Below are 16771 nucleotides of genomic sequence, written 5' to 3' on the forward strand. Positions count from 1 at the left end.
AGATTGAAAAGGAAAGCAGTCAGACTCCTGAGTTGATTTTTGAAACTGGAATGAGAGAAGAAGTGGTTGTGGGTCTGGAAGAGCTGGGCACCTGCACCAGACTGGGTGTGGAGCCTGGTAGGTAGTTGGGACTTCAGAGGGGCCTGGCTGAGCATGAGCCTGGCAGGTCTCAGCAGCCTGGGTGGAGTATGCTGCCAAGGGAGTAGTGCTGCTGGCAGTTTTTCCCTCTTTCCAGAGACCATGCCCACCGGTGACACTCTTTGCATGCTTTGAGTTGAAAGTTAGGTGACTCTTCTCTTTAATTTATTTAAGTCTCCTAGGGTTCTCAGGAGATGATGCAGAGGAAGGAGACGTGGAGGACCAAGCCAGTATGAGATTCTTGAGTTGGTTTCAGTTATATTTGATGATATAAGAGGATCATTTTTGCATCCTGAGGGTGGTGAGAATTTCCATTTTATAGATTAGGATTAAGGCACTATGAGATTATGATTTGCTGTGTCGTGTCTAGTCACAATGCTGAGATTTCAATAGCTGGAACCAAATAGCTTAGGCAGTCTCATTTCTTATTTCTCATTTCTTATTCCATTATTTTCCATTAAAAAATTATTTTCCCCATTTTTTATTCTTAGCTCGTTATTGTGTTAGGAGTCTTTCTTGTTGCATGTGACAGAAACCCGACCTGAACAAGCTTGAGCAAGAAAATTTGCTACAAGGAATGTGCTGTATGGATTTGCTACAAGGAATGTGCTGTCACATACCCTGAGGACAGGAATATGGCTAAGCCTTAAGAATATCATCCCAATAAGCTGTGGCCAGGCTGAACTTGTGCTATACAACAGCAGGCCCCAACCTTTTCGGCACCAGGGGCCAGTTTTGTGGAAGGTAATTTTTCCACAGACAAGAGTCGGGGGAATGGTTTTGGGATGATTCAAGTGCTTTACATTTATTGCACACTTTATTTTTATTATTATTACATTGTAATATATAATGAAATAATTATACAACCCACCATAATGTAGAATCAGTGGGAGATCTCAGCTTGTTTTTCTGCAACTAGACAGGTCTCCTGTGGGGGTGATGTGAGACAGTGACAGATCATCAGGCATTTGATTCTCATAAGGAGCATGCAACCTAGATGCCTTCTATGCACGGTTCACAGTGGGGTTCACGCTTCCATGAGAACCTAATGCCACTGCTGATCTGACAGGAGGTAGAGGTTACTCACATTACTCAGGGGTAATGTGAGCAGTGGGGAGCAGTTATAAATACAGATGAAGCACACTGCTCACTTCCTGCTGTGCGGACTGGTTCCTAACAGGCCAAGGACAGGTACTGGTCTGTGGCCCAGGGGTAGAGAACCCTTGTTATTCAACATGGAGACTCCTACAAAGCTGATGAAGTCTGGACTGGGAGGGAGATAGTCGAGGGGGCAGTTCCCAGAAAAGACGTGCTCTTAGGCAGACAAGAAATTGTTTACTACAATTAATAATAACTTTGAAATTAATTATATATATTCCACTTGCAAAATGATTCAATGAAGCTAATAGTAATACTATTCTATATTTTATAAGACTATATATGTTACTTCATATTAATCAGAATCACAACTACCCAATGCAGTAAAGCATCAGGTGTATCTGTTCCCATTTTTATAGATGATGAAACCAATGTGCAGAGAGGTTATGCAGTTTGCCCAAGGACACACAGCTGGTAAGTTGTAGAGATGGAATTCAAGCCTTTCCTCCACATGCTCTTATAGGCTTCAGTTCTTAAAATAAATCAACTCAGTTGTTCAGGTCTTTTTCACTTATTTGAAGGAAACAACATTCTGGATTAATTTTAAGTGAAAATACCCTGGAGGCACACTGAATTTTCAGACGTGGACAGCTGATCATCTGAGGAAGCTGCCGCATTTCCAGTTCTCTTTTGGTTGAGAGAAAGGCCATTCTTCATGCTCTTCTGTTCTTTTGATTTCCTATTGGCATCTCCGTTTCCCTCCATACCTTTCAACATTCAAGCCAGATGCCAATTGTCTGTGTGAAAACACACTGCATCTCAAATATACCAAGATGCCTTAATATTTGACCATATGTGAATATTCCAGTAAACTCCTGGGACTTATGTTCCAGTGTCAGTGCTGAACAACAGGAAGACTGTAAATACCATCAGCTAACCAGAAGACTCACATATGCCTCATGTTTATAAATGCCGATAGATGTAGTGCGTTCTAAATTTGAATTTTTGGTGCAAGAGAGGGGATGGGTGCTCTCTCCATGGAGGCAGTGCAGCTTGCAAACATACAAATGAATGGGACCTCCTCAGGTTGCTGCTGATCATGGCAATCAGTTATTGTGGAGAGACTTGCAAACAAGGAACATCTCTTGAGATGAACTCTGAAAGAAAAGAAGAAAAGAATGTGTCCATGGTAGCCAACCCTATATTAAATAAAGTTTGAACTAACTATATTAACTGGGCCAGAAAAATTCGCCTGAAGCTGGACAGGGTGGGATTAAATTCCAAGACCTTAAGCAAAACACTTCAAAGGACATAGGATGAATTTTGAGCAATATCTTTATCTTTGCCACCCACCGCAGTCCCCAGCCTCCTGCGATGCTGGCCTCGTCGTTGAAAAAACACAAAAGCAAACCACTTCAGGAGGATTTACTAGATGCCAAGCTTTGTTTTGGACCTGGTGAGAGTTAAGAAGATGAAATAAACAAGCCCTTTGTTCTCAAGTTGCCCAGTGATTTAGTATGAGAATCTTTATTGTCGTAAAAGTGCCTAACAATGCTAGGCAGGAAGGCAGGAAGCAGGAACTGAGGGCAATGTGTCCTTGGAATGGCCCAGAGAAGAGGCTGAGACTCTTACCTTGACTCTGAGCTGACTTAAAGGGTCTGGTATAATGGCAGTTCTTTTACTGAACTGCACTCTCTTCTAGTAAGTATAAAAAAGTTCTACTGGCAATAATAATAGCAAACATGTATCAGGTTCTTACTGTGCTAAGCACTTTAATTCTGTTATTGGACTTTCAAAACAACTTACTGAGGATGATACCATTACTTTTCCTGTATTACAGCAGAGGGAACTGAGGTTTAGAGAGAGAAAATAATTTGCCAAAGTCATATAATTGTTGTCTTATATAATTGTTCATCCCATAGAGAATGGCATTTTCATTTCTACAGAGATCAGAGTGTGTTGTTTTCTATTTCCTGTCTCAAATGTGTTACTCCTCATCTCTGCCAAAGCAGGCTCTATTTATCCTGCAAGAACTGTGGAACCTCCTCGACTTCCATCGTAAACTCTTCCTGGGACCCAGTGACTTCTCTTCCCACAGCATACTTGGAGAATTTATGCCTGCCTCATGTATTTGGCAATTGATCATAAATGGTCCTACGCTAATTCTCATTTGTCATATGATATTGTTTAATTTTGTTTAATCTTTCCATCCAGATTGTAAACTCCTTCTTGTTTCTGGCTGTGTCTAAAGGATTAAAAGTGAGTCTTTTATACTATTCACCACAATGCACAATTGAGTTGTCTTTGTATTTATTTGAGTTAAAGTTGTATAGGTTATATATTGCTGCTTAACAAATTTCCACAGACATAGTGGCTTAAAACAACACACATATATTTCTGTAATTACAATTCTGTAGGTCAGGTGTTGGGCATGTCTTAACTGGTCCTCTTCAAAGTTGCAATCAACGTGTTAGTTGAGGCTCAGTTCTCATCTGGAGGCTCAAGTGGAGATGGTTCTGCTTCCAAACTCACTTAGGTTGTTGGCAAAAGTCATTTCCTTGTGGTTGTAAGACTGAGGGCTCCAGCTTCTTGCTAGCTATCAGATTAAGCCTTTCTCAGCAATTATTGGCTGCCCCTTCCACCCCAGGTCCATGCTACAAGGTTGTCTCTCATATGCCTTTTTACAAAATGGCAATTTTCTTCTTCAAGACAGCTACTGAGAGAGAGTCTTTGGAGCAAATTTGCTGGTAAGATGGAGTCTTACATAACATAATGTCATAATGAGAGTGACTTCCTATCTCCTTTGCTATATTCTGTTGATTGGAAGCAAGTCACAAGTCTTACCTAATCTGAAGGAGATGGGGTTATACAAGGGCATGAACAACAAGAATCTGGGGTCATGGGGGGACCACCTTGGAGCCTATCCACCACAGAAATGAAAGAAGCAAGAAATGTACAAAGATTTGAGACAATTATATTTCACTTAGGAAATTAAAAATAGCACTTACAAATTTAGAAAACTGATTCTGATCTCCTTGTTTCAACTACTAAATAATCACCATCAAAATTTGAATAATCTTGGCTAAACAGCAGGTTTGGCTTGTGGAGATGGAGCCCAGGAGATAAAGCATCAACTAGGAGGTGTGTATTGAGGGAGATAACTTGCTATGAATAGTCGCCGTTCAAAGTGATGTAGTCAACTCAAGCTTTACTCTTGCCGGAGCTGAGATACAAGGCCAACTAGTCAGGAGTGGGTGGCAAGAAACTGGGTGTACTAGGACTGGGGTTCAGTAAGCCTTTCAGAGAGAGAAACTGGAAAGTCCAGGTAGTTGGTCAAGAACCCAACCTGGAGGAACAGGAATATAGCCTCTTGAAGGATTCAGTCACTATCAGGAAGCTGAGGTTGAGCCACAGCTGTGAAGAATGGATGGACCAACATACAGGTGGGCCCAGTTAATGTAGGATTGTGGCTCAGTGGGCCTGTCCCCATTTATAGGACTATCATTTGGCTGCACCTGTGGACAGAGGGGAAGCTCTTAATGTTCTCCTTGTAGAAGACCTCACTGAAGGAAGGGTCTAAGAATTATTGCATGACATTTAGGTTCTAATTCCATATAGGTCAAATTTGCAGGAAGCAGTACATATTTACATTTTGTTTTTTCCTAAATATGAGACACATTTACTTATTTATAAGATTTCATTTTTATGCCTTCCTTTCTCTTCTTCTCCCATTGTTTAAAGACCTTAATCTTCATGAAAACCCTTAGATTTCTATCGAGTTCTTCTTTTTTCATTGAAACCTAATGATAAAGATATTATCCTATTGATGGGACAAATTGGATCAGATATGCTTTTCTGCATATTGCTTATTTGTCATACACCTTCCTATGCCTTTTTAAATAATACATGTTTTATGGGGCCTTTCTCCTGTGACTCATTTTTGGAGCTGATCCGATAAGGAGTTATTCTCCAGACGTGGCACCACTGACCCTCATTTCAAACTACATTTTTAATTTATTTTAAAAAAGATATTTCATTCACAGAATCCCCACTGAGCTTTTTATTGTGAAAAATTAGGACCCGTAAATCATCCCCCTCAGAACATTATAAATTTTATACAATTGAAACATTCCATGGACTGAGCTTGGCACTTTGATGAAATCACTCCTTTGCTTCTCTTAATTTATGAGCTTTCTTCATTCTCCTCCCTCCTGCTCCATCATCACCTTGCCCTCCCAGCAAGAGACGGGGTGGTATCATGCCTTTAAATTGCTCACTGGGGTTTATTGAGTGTAATTTGTGAGTGAATTTATATGAACCTACAATATTGCAATTTATCCAAAATTATGAACAATAAAACTTTTCATTTTTCTGGCAGTCAGAAGGGACGTGGGTTGATCACGCAGGAGGTAGCTCAACATGGTGCACTGGGGAAGAACCAAGTACCTGGAAGCCAGATGATGCGGGGTAGAGGCACAGCTCCCCCAGTTGTTCGGAGACGGAGGCCTCGGTTTCCTCAGAGCATGCATGATCTTTAAGATTGTTTTTTTTTTTTAGCTCTCATGCATTTTGATTCTATGGATTGAGATGGTTTTTGCCTTGTTGCTTCTTTTTAAAGGGTAATTATGAAAACCAACATGATGTATCTTAAAAGTTTGATTTTCAATATGGAGAGTTAGCTTTCATTTTTTAGGGGAAAGAAGGTATGAGAGTAAGGGGAAAGCACAACCATGTAAAAGAGCAAAGTACTCCTGATTCTTGTCTGTGAGGTTTGCACTGGATTATAAGGTCCTTGAAACCAGGGGCTGTGTATTTAACTTTGAGGCCCTGGCTCCCAGTACAGAGAAACTGATACCTGGGTTTCTGATAAAAGTGTTGAATTAATATGGAAAAATCCAAAGTCGGGTTACTCCCACAAATCCAAATGCCTGGAATAGTGCCAGACCCACGGAAGGTGCTCAATACATAATTGTTTGATATCCAACAGATGGGCTACTGGCCATAATTGGGATCTTGGTGTTTCCGTTTCCACTCCTGGTCCATGTGACATCCTTATTTTTTATATCTTAATGTTTTTTTGACTAGGATTCCAGTTGGATTTTTTTTTTTTTTGATTGAGTCTCATTCTGTCACCCAGGCTGGAGTGCAGTGGTATGATCTCAGCTCACTGCAACCTCTGCCTCCTGGGTTCAAGTGATTCTCCTGCCTCAGCCTCCCAAGTAGCTGGGATTACAGGCGCCTGCCACCATGCCTGGCTAATATTTTGTATTTTTAGTAGAGACAGGGTTTCACCATATTGGCCAGGCTGGTTTCGAACTCCTGGCCTCAAGTGATCTGCCTGCCTCGGCCTCCCAAAGTGCTAGGATTACAGGAGTGAGTCACCACACCCAGCCTCCAGATGGATCTTTTAAGAAATTGCTAGCTTTTTGGCCTCACTACTTCTCGCGCTGTTGGAAAGGGTTTTGCTGCTGCAGAAATAGGCTAGAATTCGAAGATAGATGTTGTATGGCAAAGTGGCTGAGCTTCAGCTCTGGAGAGAGACTTGGGTTTGAATGCGGCCTCTATAACATAAGCTCTGTGACCTTTGGTGGAATATTTTCCTCCTGCTAAGCTCTACTTTACTTCTCTGTAGAATGGGGGATAATAATTATACTTATTTCTTAGGGTAGAAGTGAGGACTCAAAGCAGCTATCCATATAAAGAGCTTAGCCCAGGGCTGGCATATATTAAGTATTCAATACATGTTACCTATGACTTGAATTTAATTATTATTAGGAGTATTGGTGTATACATCAGTAATTGCCACAGTTTTTACTTTTGCATTAAAATTCAGATTCTGGCCACTGCACTCCAGCATGCGTAACAGAGAGTGACCTCTCTCTCTCAAAAAAAAAAAAAAAAAAAATCAGACTCTGTGGGGACACTATGATTATTGTCCTATATACAATTTATTTAGTTAACAACTTTTTCTTTAGCTTTTCAGGATATATTTTGAGATCCTTGTGTTAAAAGAAAAGAGTATCACTAATATTATTAACAGAACCTCACCATTTTGGATAGAGAGCGTTGCTTGGATTTCTAATTACTTCTAAGTGTAGTTTTATTTAATTTCAGTCCTTTAGAAAAAAAATGAGAATATAGTGCTGAAGCATCTGGTATTTATGTTTTTTCACAAGATGGAAAATTTCCTTCCTGACAGTTGTTGGTTATGACTTTGCCTATGTGCAATTATAATACAGCACACTACTGTTTTAAGAAGAGTATCATTAGCGTCAGAATGCAAAACAGTCTGAAATACTCGAAAATCAAGCTGAAGCCAATTCCCTTTTCTTTGACCTGCTTGCAGGATACCCTGACAAGGTATGAACTGGAGTATGTGTCTTGGAACTATTTACCCCTTAAATATGAAAAATGTAAATAAGCGATGGAGTTTGGGGTGACAGAGGATCTAAAGTGATGGCCACCCAGCCCTTGCGAGTAAAATATGGCTCACTTAAAGACATTTCAGTCCTAAATCATGCACAGCAGGCGAGTTTGTGGGCTGAGCGGCTTGCACAAAAACATTCCTTTGGGACCATTTAAAAAGGCTGAATAAGCAAGGAATCCTGTGTGACAATGCTCAGAATACCAAAGGAGCGGTTCAGGTATACATATTATTGCCCGTGGCTCGAAGCCCAATAACCTTTTCCTTATTGAGATAGATTCCCTGGACAGAAAACAAATCCTTTCCAAGTTAGAGAACTTTATCAGATTTATTTCTCATTGTCAGGTCAGCATGCAGGAAACAAATGAAGTCTGTCGCGTGATTCATATTAGAAGGAGAGCAATTTATAGTGCTCACTGGCTTCTCACAAACCTTATTAATGTTTGGCATAGGGTGCCAAGGAATCATAAAGAATCATCCTGTTGAGCATTTATATCTGCTTAGTCTCTGATTATATGTCCTCGACACAGCTTAAATAATGGCAGACAGAGCATCTCGTGAGCAGGAAATGAGAAAGTAACACATGTTTTTGTCTCATATTCAAATATTCTTCCCTATCTTTTTAAAGTCTTCCCCTGGGAGGCAAAGAACTGTTTTTAGGTTTCATTTTTCCTTAAGCTGTTGCTGCTCTTGCCTGTAATTTCCACTTTGTTTAGATTTGTCACAGCCCTAAAATGGAATTAAGTTGCTTATTTATGCTCATGTCTTTTGTTATTTTGAATTTGGGGCATTTCTTACTTCAGTCATGGCTATATAGTTGCTCCACTTCACATTCCCTTTTGAATTCTAGCCCCTTGTGCCTTTGTGATGTGAACTCATTAAGGATAGTGCCAACTTATTTATGAAGTTCTTAACATATTTGACCTAATAATACTAATAGATGGCATTTGTTCAATGCCACCTATGTGGCACATAAAATATAAATGTATGTGCCAGGCACCTTACATTTATACTTTATGTAATCATCATAACAACCTCATGAGGTAAGTAGTATTATCACACTCATTTTAGAGATCAGTTACCCTGGGATACAGTGCTACTAAACAGAAGAGCTGGAAATTGCACCCCAACAATCCACTCTTCACTGAGCTGCACTCCTTCTCTAGAACATTAATTTATAGTTCATTGAATGTGGTGCTCTAGAAAACATGAGCATAACAAAGAGAGAAGAGAGGAGGAAAATGGGAAGAAATAAGGTTAAATGTAGAAAGATGGACAGCATGACATTCTACCAGCAATTGATCTGAGGGACTATTAGTTGTACAACTGGCTCTTGAATTTAATTGGCTTCTCAGGTGCCTTGCTAATGGCTAGTGATGTGGATGGGTCATTTGACCCTTCTGATACCTGAAAAGGACACTCTTCTACTATATGGAATTAATCGTTTGGTAATTTTTTATTTTGAAATAATTTTAGACTCTCCAAAAAGTTACGAGTACAGGGAACTTCCATATCCCTCCAACTATAATATCCTAATTGTTAATGTTTTACCACATTTATTTTTATAATTTTCTCTCTATATAGACACTTATTATTTTATGAATCATTTGAGAATAAGTTGCATGCTCAAATACTTTGGTGTGTGTTTTCTAAGAAAAAGTAAATTCTCATATACCCACATTATAATTATTGCAATCAGAAAACTAATACTGATTCAATGCTAACATCTAAAGTACAAACTTGTATTTCACCAGTTGTCCCAATGAAAAGGTTTTGGGAGGGGATGTTCAGGGACCAATCAAATTACATGTTGCAGTTAGTTGTCTCTTTAGTCTCTTTTAGTCTGGAACAGTTTCTCTTTGTGATTTTTCATTTTGACATTTTTAGAAAGGGTATATAGGTCAACTGTCTTTCAGACTGTCTCTCAATTTGAGTTTGCCTGATGCTTCCTCATGATTGCACCGAAGTTACACCCTTTGGGCAGGAATGACACTGAAGTGATGCTATGTTCTCAGTGCATCATACCAGGATGCACCTCATGCTAATTTGTCCAGCTATTGGTGATGTTAACAGATTGCTCTAATGTAAGGCTACAATTTTTCAATGTACTAAAGTTAAAATTTGATTTAGATTCTAATTTCCTCAGAATTGGGTTCAAATCAAGTCCATTGCTTAAGAAGCTTTGGGTATTCTGAAAAAGCTAACTTCCTGATCTGTAAGTATCAGGATCAGTCATGGAAAGTGGTGCCTGGCACATACATTTATATTTTATGTGCCACATAGGTGGCATTGAACAAATGTCATCTATTAGTATTATTAGGTCAAATATGTTGAGAACCTCATGTAAGTATTGCTTAATGTCTTGGGACATTAAGCAGACACAGGAACTTGGTACTCTAACTCCAGGGAACAAACCAGAAAATGGCAGAATTATTGTACAAGACCAGGTCTGGGTTGGCACCAAGCATGACTTGAAGAAGGCACCAAGGATGGGGCTAGAAAGCTAGTTAAACTTTTAGCCTCAAATCTGGCTGGGTCTGAGAGACTGAGGAAGAGAATCAGAAGATTTCAGCTGGCGGAGAAGCAGGGCACAGTGTGTGGACTGAGCTTGATGGCATGATCAGCTGATGCTGCTAAAGACCTGAGACTCTTAATCAGCAACTGTGCAATCAGCAATAGCAGTTGTACCCACCTTATCTGCTATGGAGGCATTATTATTGGCTTTTTTGGGGGGCATTTAATGAAAATTTCTTGCTTTCAAGGTTATTCTTCAACTATACATCACTTGGGCAGTGCTGAGAAACACATAGGATGATTTGGCCTGGGCTCCATATCCTTCCCAGGAATATCTTAAGACTGAGAAATATGGTCTCTTTTCCATACCTCCAAGTTGCTTTTACATGGATGAAGAGAATCAGAATGCTCAGTGAAATATGTATTCAAAAAGAAATGTACCAGAATAAAATTACATTAGAAAATAATTGCTTCTAAAAATCATCACCCATTCTTACCCTCTGTTATTCTGTTCTCTTTCAACTGTCTGTATTTTAATCCCTTTCTTCTTCCCTGATGTTTTCTATTCATTTAATTTAAGCAATGTTTCTGGATACCATAGCAATAGCAATGAGGTGTTGTATAAACGTACAATGGAGCAGAATGGAAATGCTTCCTATGGTAACAGAAACCATAGAAACATGTGCGTGTGTGTGTGTGCATGTGCGTGCACACACACGTGCATACAAAGCTGTTTTGGGGTCAAAGCTTTGTAGAGTTCATGCAACTAGGAAAATGAAGTGTTTCACTGTGATCACATTGCTATTTGTATCTATTGTCATCATGATTTAACATTTATTGCATGCCTATAGTCCCCTGGACAGACCCTGGAACTAGATGTCAACTCTACTTAGTGGATTTATGTTTGAAATTAGATAGCAAAGCCACAAAATGGAAAAAGATGAGAATACTTCCAAAACAGAAATATTGAATAATGCATTTTCAGAAAAATTAGGTAAGGAGAAAATGAGTTTGACCCAGGCAGTTAGGAATGAAGGATATGGGAGGAGACTTAAATGTCTAGATTAGAGATGGTTTGCAGCCATTTCCAAGAACCCTGGGAGGGACTGCTTGTGCTGCATGATCTAACACTTTAATCCTCTTCTGCCATGGCTCAGACCCCATGGGGTGGAATCTTGATGAGGAGACTCCCTGTCTTGGATAATAATAACAAGCTGTCTTCTCTGTAGGCAAATTTTCAGGTGGAAGTCTCACTCTACCACTCTCATAACCAATGCAACAAATAATCAAGTTCTCAAGCTGCAAGGAAAACTGAGGGGATTATTTTTAAGGATGTAAAGAACATTAAACAATGAAGAGATAGTTTCTCAGAGTAAGTTTTTTCCCTCCTTTGCCAGGTGCCTGATATCATCTTTCTTGTCTACCTTAGACACCCCCCACACTTTTTAATATTAAAAGTCTCTTAATAACAAAAGTAAACAGCATGTTATTTATGGAAACTGCACAACATTAGCTTTGCTAATTACATGGTTACTCACTTTCCCAGCACCAGATCACCTCTTATTTGTTTCCAACTACTGTGGCCACCATGTGTTTTAAGTGTAAGACAGAAATAATAAACTGCAGGTTTCCAGGGTACTCACGTATTATTTCTGCAGTTCACACAGGACATGTACCATCTGGGTTTGAAGGGCACATCATTCCAAGGCGGAATGGAGTGAGTAGGGCTTTCCCAGTAGAGCCACTGACTCTATGGGGAAATTTCAAATGGAGTTTTGGGGTCAGAGAGACCTAAGTTCAGATGCCTGGCACAATAACTTCCCACTTACATGAAATCTTCTTTGCCTTCTCTGTAAGTAACTTCTCTGCCTCTTGGCTTACTGTATATAAATTGGGTATATGATGCCTAATTTCTAGTGTGGCTCTGAATCTTAAATGAGGTGATACAATATGGCACTTGCCGTAAGGTAAGTTATTACTGAATGATGGTCTTAGTTTCTTTCTACTCCATTTCTGTCTCTTCTAAACTCCTAAGAACTAAGCTGAGAAGGCATAAAAGATGACACACAGACCATTCAGCTCAAAATCCAGAATAAGAAGCCCAAACTGGAGTATATTCTGCAGAAGATTTGCTGTCTTAAGGGAGCTACTATTAGCTCAGCTTTAACCCTCCTTCCCATCTCTTTCTGGTTAGTGAACTGGTGCCACCACCTGCCCATTAGAGAACCTGAGCTATTTGTTCAGTGATTCACGTCTCTGGATTCAGCACTGAGCCTGCATAAACTCCCAACTCAGTCAGCAACACTGTGCTAACATCTACTAGGAATGGTTCAGTCCCTGTAGATCTGAGAAATAATTCCTGTGGTTACATCAACTGTTTGGATCTTTGGATCCATAAATTATTTCTGTCTTTTCTTTTTTGAAGGGTTTTCTATTTGAATGCTGTTTTATCTCAAAAGGCAGTTGGTTCCATTCTGACATGGTAGAGATATGAAGCTTCCTTCAACTGACACAGTTTGGCTAGATGCCAGTCAGGAGTACCTCCAAGATATTTTGGCTGTAGGATAAGTTACAGATAGCCTGGCCTTGCCATCTGCAATGATCGGTTGTAGTAATAACAATCTCTGGGTGCACAATTAACCAATTCTGAAAATGTGAAACTTATTAATTATCCTGCATTTTTGCTTGGCTGCTAGCTAACTCTGTCTAGATCCTGTTTCTTGGCATTCTCTCATCTGTCATTTCTACCACAAATCCCCTACAGATCGTTAGTTGCCTATGTTCCTCTACTTCATTGTCTTTCTTTCAGTCATTGACTGTTACTGAGATTTTTTTTTTCATGAAATCAGAGTTTTAGTATTCTTTTTTTATTATAGGGAAAAGAAACCAAGTCTCCTTGAATCAGTTTATCCCAATGTCTTCTGGTTTTCTATGTTGGCTACAGTCAAGATAACCTATTACTAAGGTAGGTTGTGTGTTTCTAGACCACCAAATCTGTTCAATAGACCTTTTTGCATCTGAGTGGACAGGTCCTAGATGACACTGGAGACATAGAGGTGAACTCCCTCCCTGGCCTTCAGGTACTCACATTGCATTTGGGAACCTAGGCATTAAGCAAACAACCATGATACAATGTGCTAAGTGCTATCACTAAAGTATAAACAAAGTGGTTTGAGGGGCGTTATGTTCCCCCATATTGACCTGAAGCTGTAGTATTTTGACTGCTTCTAGAGTACCTGTATGTCTCTGCATGTCCAGGCAGTCTGATTTATTAACAGGGCCCTCTTTTAATCTTGGAGTCTCTATGTGGATGATAAACTGTATGGTCTTTCTATTTATAAATCAAAAACCAATATAGGAGGCTAGTTTAATTTGTGAGCAAATATGTTTCTATTTATTAAGAATTCTTGAGTTGCCTGCCTCTACATTAGTGGTTGAGGCAGTGGAGTGAGTTCCTGATCTGACTCACCTTTCTCACCAACAGTGATACTTGTACTTTAGCATATACATGAGAGACTGAGTTGATTCTATAGCCTAACTGGAATTTATTCATTCCTTCATCCATCTACTCAATGAATCAATTCTACATTTACTGAGCACTGATTGTGTGTCAGCCAATCTACTAGGCACGTGGGATACAGTGATGATCTATATAGATATATCTCTGCCCCCACAGAACTTACAGAGTGGAGCCTCAAAAAGTGATTTCAATTTTATCCATCTGCTTTGTGTCTTCTCTTTAAATCCTTGCTACCCAAAGTAGGCTCTCAATATTAGCAGCATCAGTGTCACCCAGAAGCTTGTTAGAAATGGAGAACTTAGGCCCACCTCACACCTATTGAATCTGAATCTGCAGTTTCAAAAGATCCTCAATAATCTGAGCAGATTCTGATTCAGTTGGTCTAGGGTCTTCACTTCTGACAAACTCGCAGGCAATGTCAATGCTGTTGGTCCATGGATCGCACTTTAAGGGACTTCCCCAGTTCTTTACAAAATGTGGGTTGCAACCCAATAGTGGGTCATGAAATCAATATAGTGAGTTGTAACTAGCACATTCAAAAATATTTTAAAATAGGATAGAGTACACAAACAATTCAGAGTGCATTTCATGTCATGATGAAGGCATTGTTGCATGAAACTTGAATCAGCTTTTTGTACATCTGCACACAGACACAAACACAGATGTATGTAGACTGAGTTCTGATGAAAACGTATTTCTTAATACGGGTCGCAGCTGATAACAGTTTGAAAGTTATTGTTCTAGACAAGCTTATCTAGGCCAGAAAGAAGTCCTCAGAAGTGATTCCAGTCTAGAACAGAGAGCTCAGATCAAAGGGGTTCTGTTAATATTAGAACTATCCAGAATCCCAGTGAGGACATCCAGGAAAAAGTAGAACAGTGGGGCTAGAAAGATCCTCTACTAGGGGTGACAGCTGTGTGCTGATTGGATGATGAGATGCCCATGATTAGTGGCTTGTACCAGTTGGCATTAGGTTTTTGCATGACCCAAGATTTTGGACTGTGAGCTCCTTGAAGGTGGGACCTGTATGTTACTCCTAGAGGCTAAAACAGTGCCTTTCCCGCAGGGGGAGTTTCCGCAGTGTACTGTGACTTTTTATATCTTTCATACTACTCAATATACCACATGTAACAAATGAGGTCTTTTCTGTCTTTCCACTGGGAATCATGTATTATTCATCTTTGCTTTTTTCTAGGGCCTACTCCAATATCTAGAGATGGCAGATATTCAGTAAGTTTATTCACTTAACAAATATTTTATTTGTTATTCAGCAAAGAAGATTTTCTCTCAGCTATATTACATCAGTTTTAGAAGGCACACAGATGAACAGGCTTGATAAAGAGCAAATCTGTGAAAAACAAACACTTGTGGACTAAATGGTATCACATTTACAGAGCTGTAAGAGAGGTATAAGTCACCCTGGGCACCGAGTTTTATGCTGTATTGATTAACTTTCCATTTCCCTTGGTTCAATTTTAGTTTCTCTCTTAGAATTATGTTTCTACCCTTTGCATTCTCACCGCCAATCATTTATTGCTGCACGTGTCTTTCCCCCTCCATATACTGTGCTCCTTAATTCACTAAGGGACTGTACTAACATAGCCTAAATACCCACCTTCCAGCCACCCTTCAGGAGGGTATTAGCTGTATTTGTGCACAGCGAGAGTGCCTTCAAGGCAGAGGGCTTCCTCCCCTATACTTCACCTCCAAATCTCTTTCCTTTCCACAAATGCTAGTGCTAGGCAGCTGTGCTCACTATTATTCGTCTTCTCTGTAGTTCTTGACTTTGCCTGTACGTTATAAACACTTGGTATTTTAATATTTCCCATGTCCAGGTTGCAGTTCAAACCAATGAAGTCAGAATCTCTGGAGGTGGGACAAAGGTATTTGTAGTTTTTAGGCTTCTCAGATGATTCCAATGTGCAGTGAAGATTGAATGCTATTGCTTAGAGGAAAATTCAGTCACCTGATATTTGAAGTTTAGGTAATTTCCTTAGCCCTCAAAATATGTTCATTTCTTTTCTAGTCCTTAGTATCCCTGCCCAAGTCTGAAAATATTTATATTGCTATTTAATCAGAAGTAAAGCAATTAAAATGTACATGTTACTCAAGAAGAAGAAACATTAGAACATTGCTCAACTTATCACCTGTGTGGTTATTAAGCTATTGTCTCTATTTCAAAAGCACCTTTCTGTATTCTACTTTGTGACTCTGGGTTTTTTTCACCATCTAGCTCTTAGGTGGCACTAGAAGAGGACCACAAGCCTGCCAGAGGGAGGAGAGTATTGCTTCTTCCTGTTCCCATTAGTGTCACCTCAGCAGTGACTTTTCACCCTGGAGTGGCAGGCAAGTTTCTAGATTATTTGAGTACTCCCCAAATCAGTCTTGCTGCACCCCCTGAGAGATACCAGCAGCAATGAAGTGTGAGTCCCAGCTCTGGGCTCCCCCCTCCAAGATTCTGGGTTTTCGTAATCCCTTGTGCTTATTAATGCTGTTACCTTAGGGTCCTTTTTTTTTTTTTTTTTAATTTTCAATGCTTGTCCAGCAAGTTTCCTATACTAAATTGCTATATGGAAACATCTATTCTTCTCTCCTTTGACTGTACCTAACTCAAAATGCCTTCTCATTTAACAACCAGTGCTCTGCAACAAGGTGAGCTTTCTAGGAAGGCAAATAACAAGAAGGCTCAGGTTGGCTTGTCTCCATTTTGGGGCAATGGGAGTGTGCTGGAAGTCTTCCAAGGAACAAGAGTGAGAAGAAGATGCTAGAATGAAGAGGTGGACAGACATAGGGGAGGAAAGCGCACTGGATACAAACTTTATTACCTTCATTATTTTGCTAGGTCTGTCTTAGCTGAGAGACTCTGAGAGTATTAATCAGAGATAAATGGGAAGTAAGTAATAGTCTATAGTAATCCATAGTGGCATTTATTAATAATACAAATCTTCTGGCCTCCATCTCTTCTTCTTCCCATAAGCCCACAGTTTGTCCACACATAAGCATATGTGGTTTTGTCCTTAATAATAGGGTAGTGCAAATAGTTAATTCACTACTCCTAGTGCCACGAGTGGCACGTT

At 39.7% G+C, this 16771-nt stretch overlaps 1 protein-coding gene across 25 annotated transcripts in view; it reads left to right on the top strand.

Moving 5' to 3' along the window:
* TRMT11 (tRNA methyltransferase 11) overlaps nt 1–16771 on the top strand; it is a 285804-nt gene that overhangs the window by 113276 nt on the left and 155757 nt on the right. For 7 of the 25 annotated variants that reach the window (XR_007059324.1, XR_007059299.1, XR_007059290.1 and 4 more), the window contains 4 exons: nt 13051–13139; nt 14890–14924; nt 15530–15577; nt 15928–16040. The exons of 12 other annotated variants lie outside the window; for them this stretch is intronic. The gene's annotated coding sequence lies outside the window, so the exon portion shown is untranslated. 6 more of the 25 variants (XR_007059304.1, XR_007059301.1, XR_007059297.1 and 3 more) reach the window with 5 other exon arrangements.

This window comes from Homo sapiens, chromosome 6 (genome assembly GCF_000001405.40).
Source record: "Homo sapiens chromosome 6, GRCh38.p14 Primary Assembly".
Classification (NCBI taxonomy): domain Eukaryota; kingdom Metazoa; phylum Chordata; class Mammalia; order Primates; family Hominidae; genus Homo; species Homo sapiens.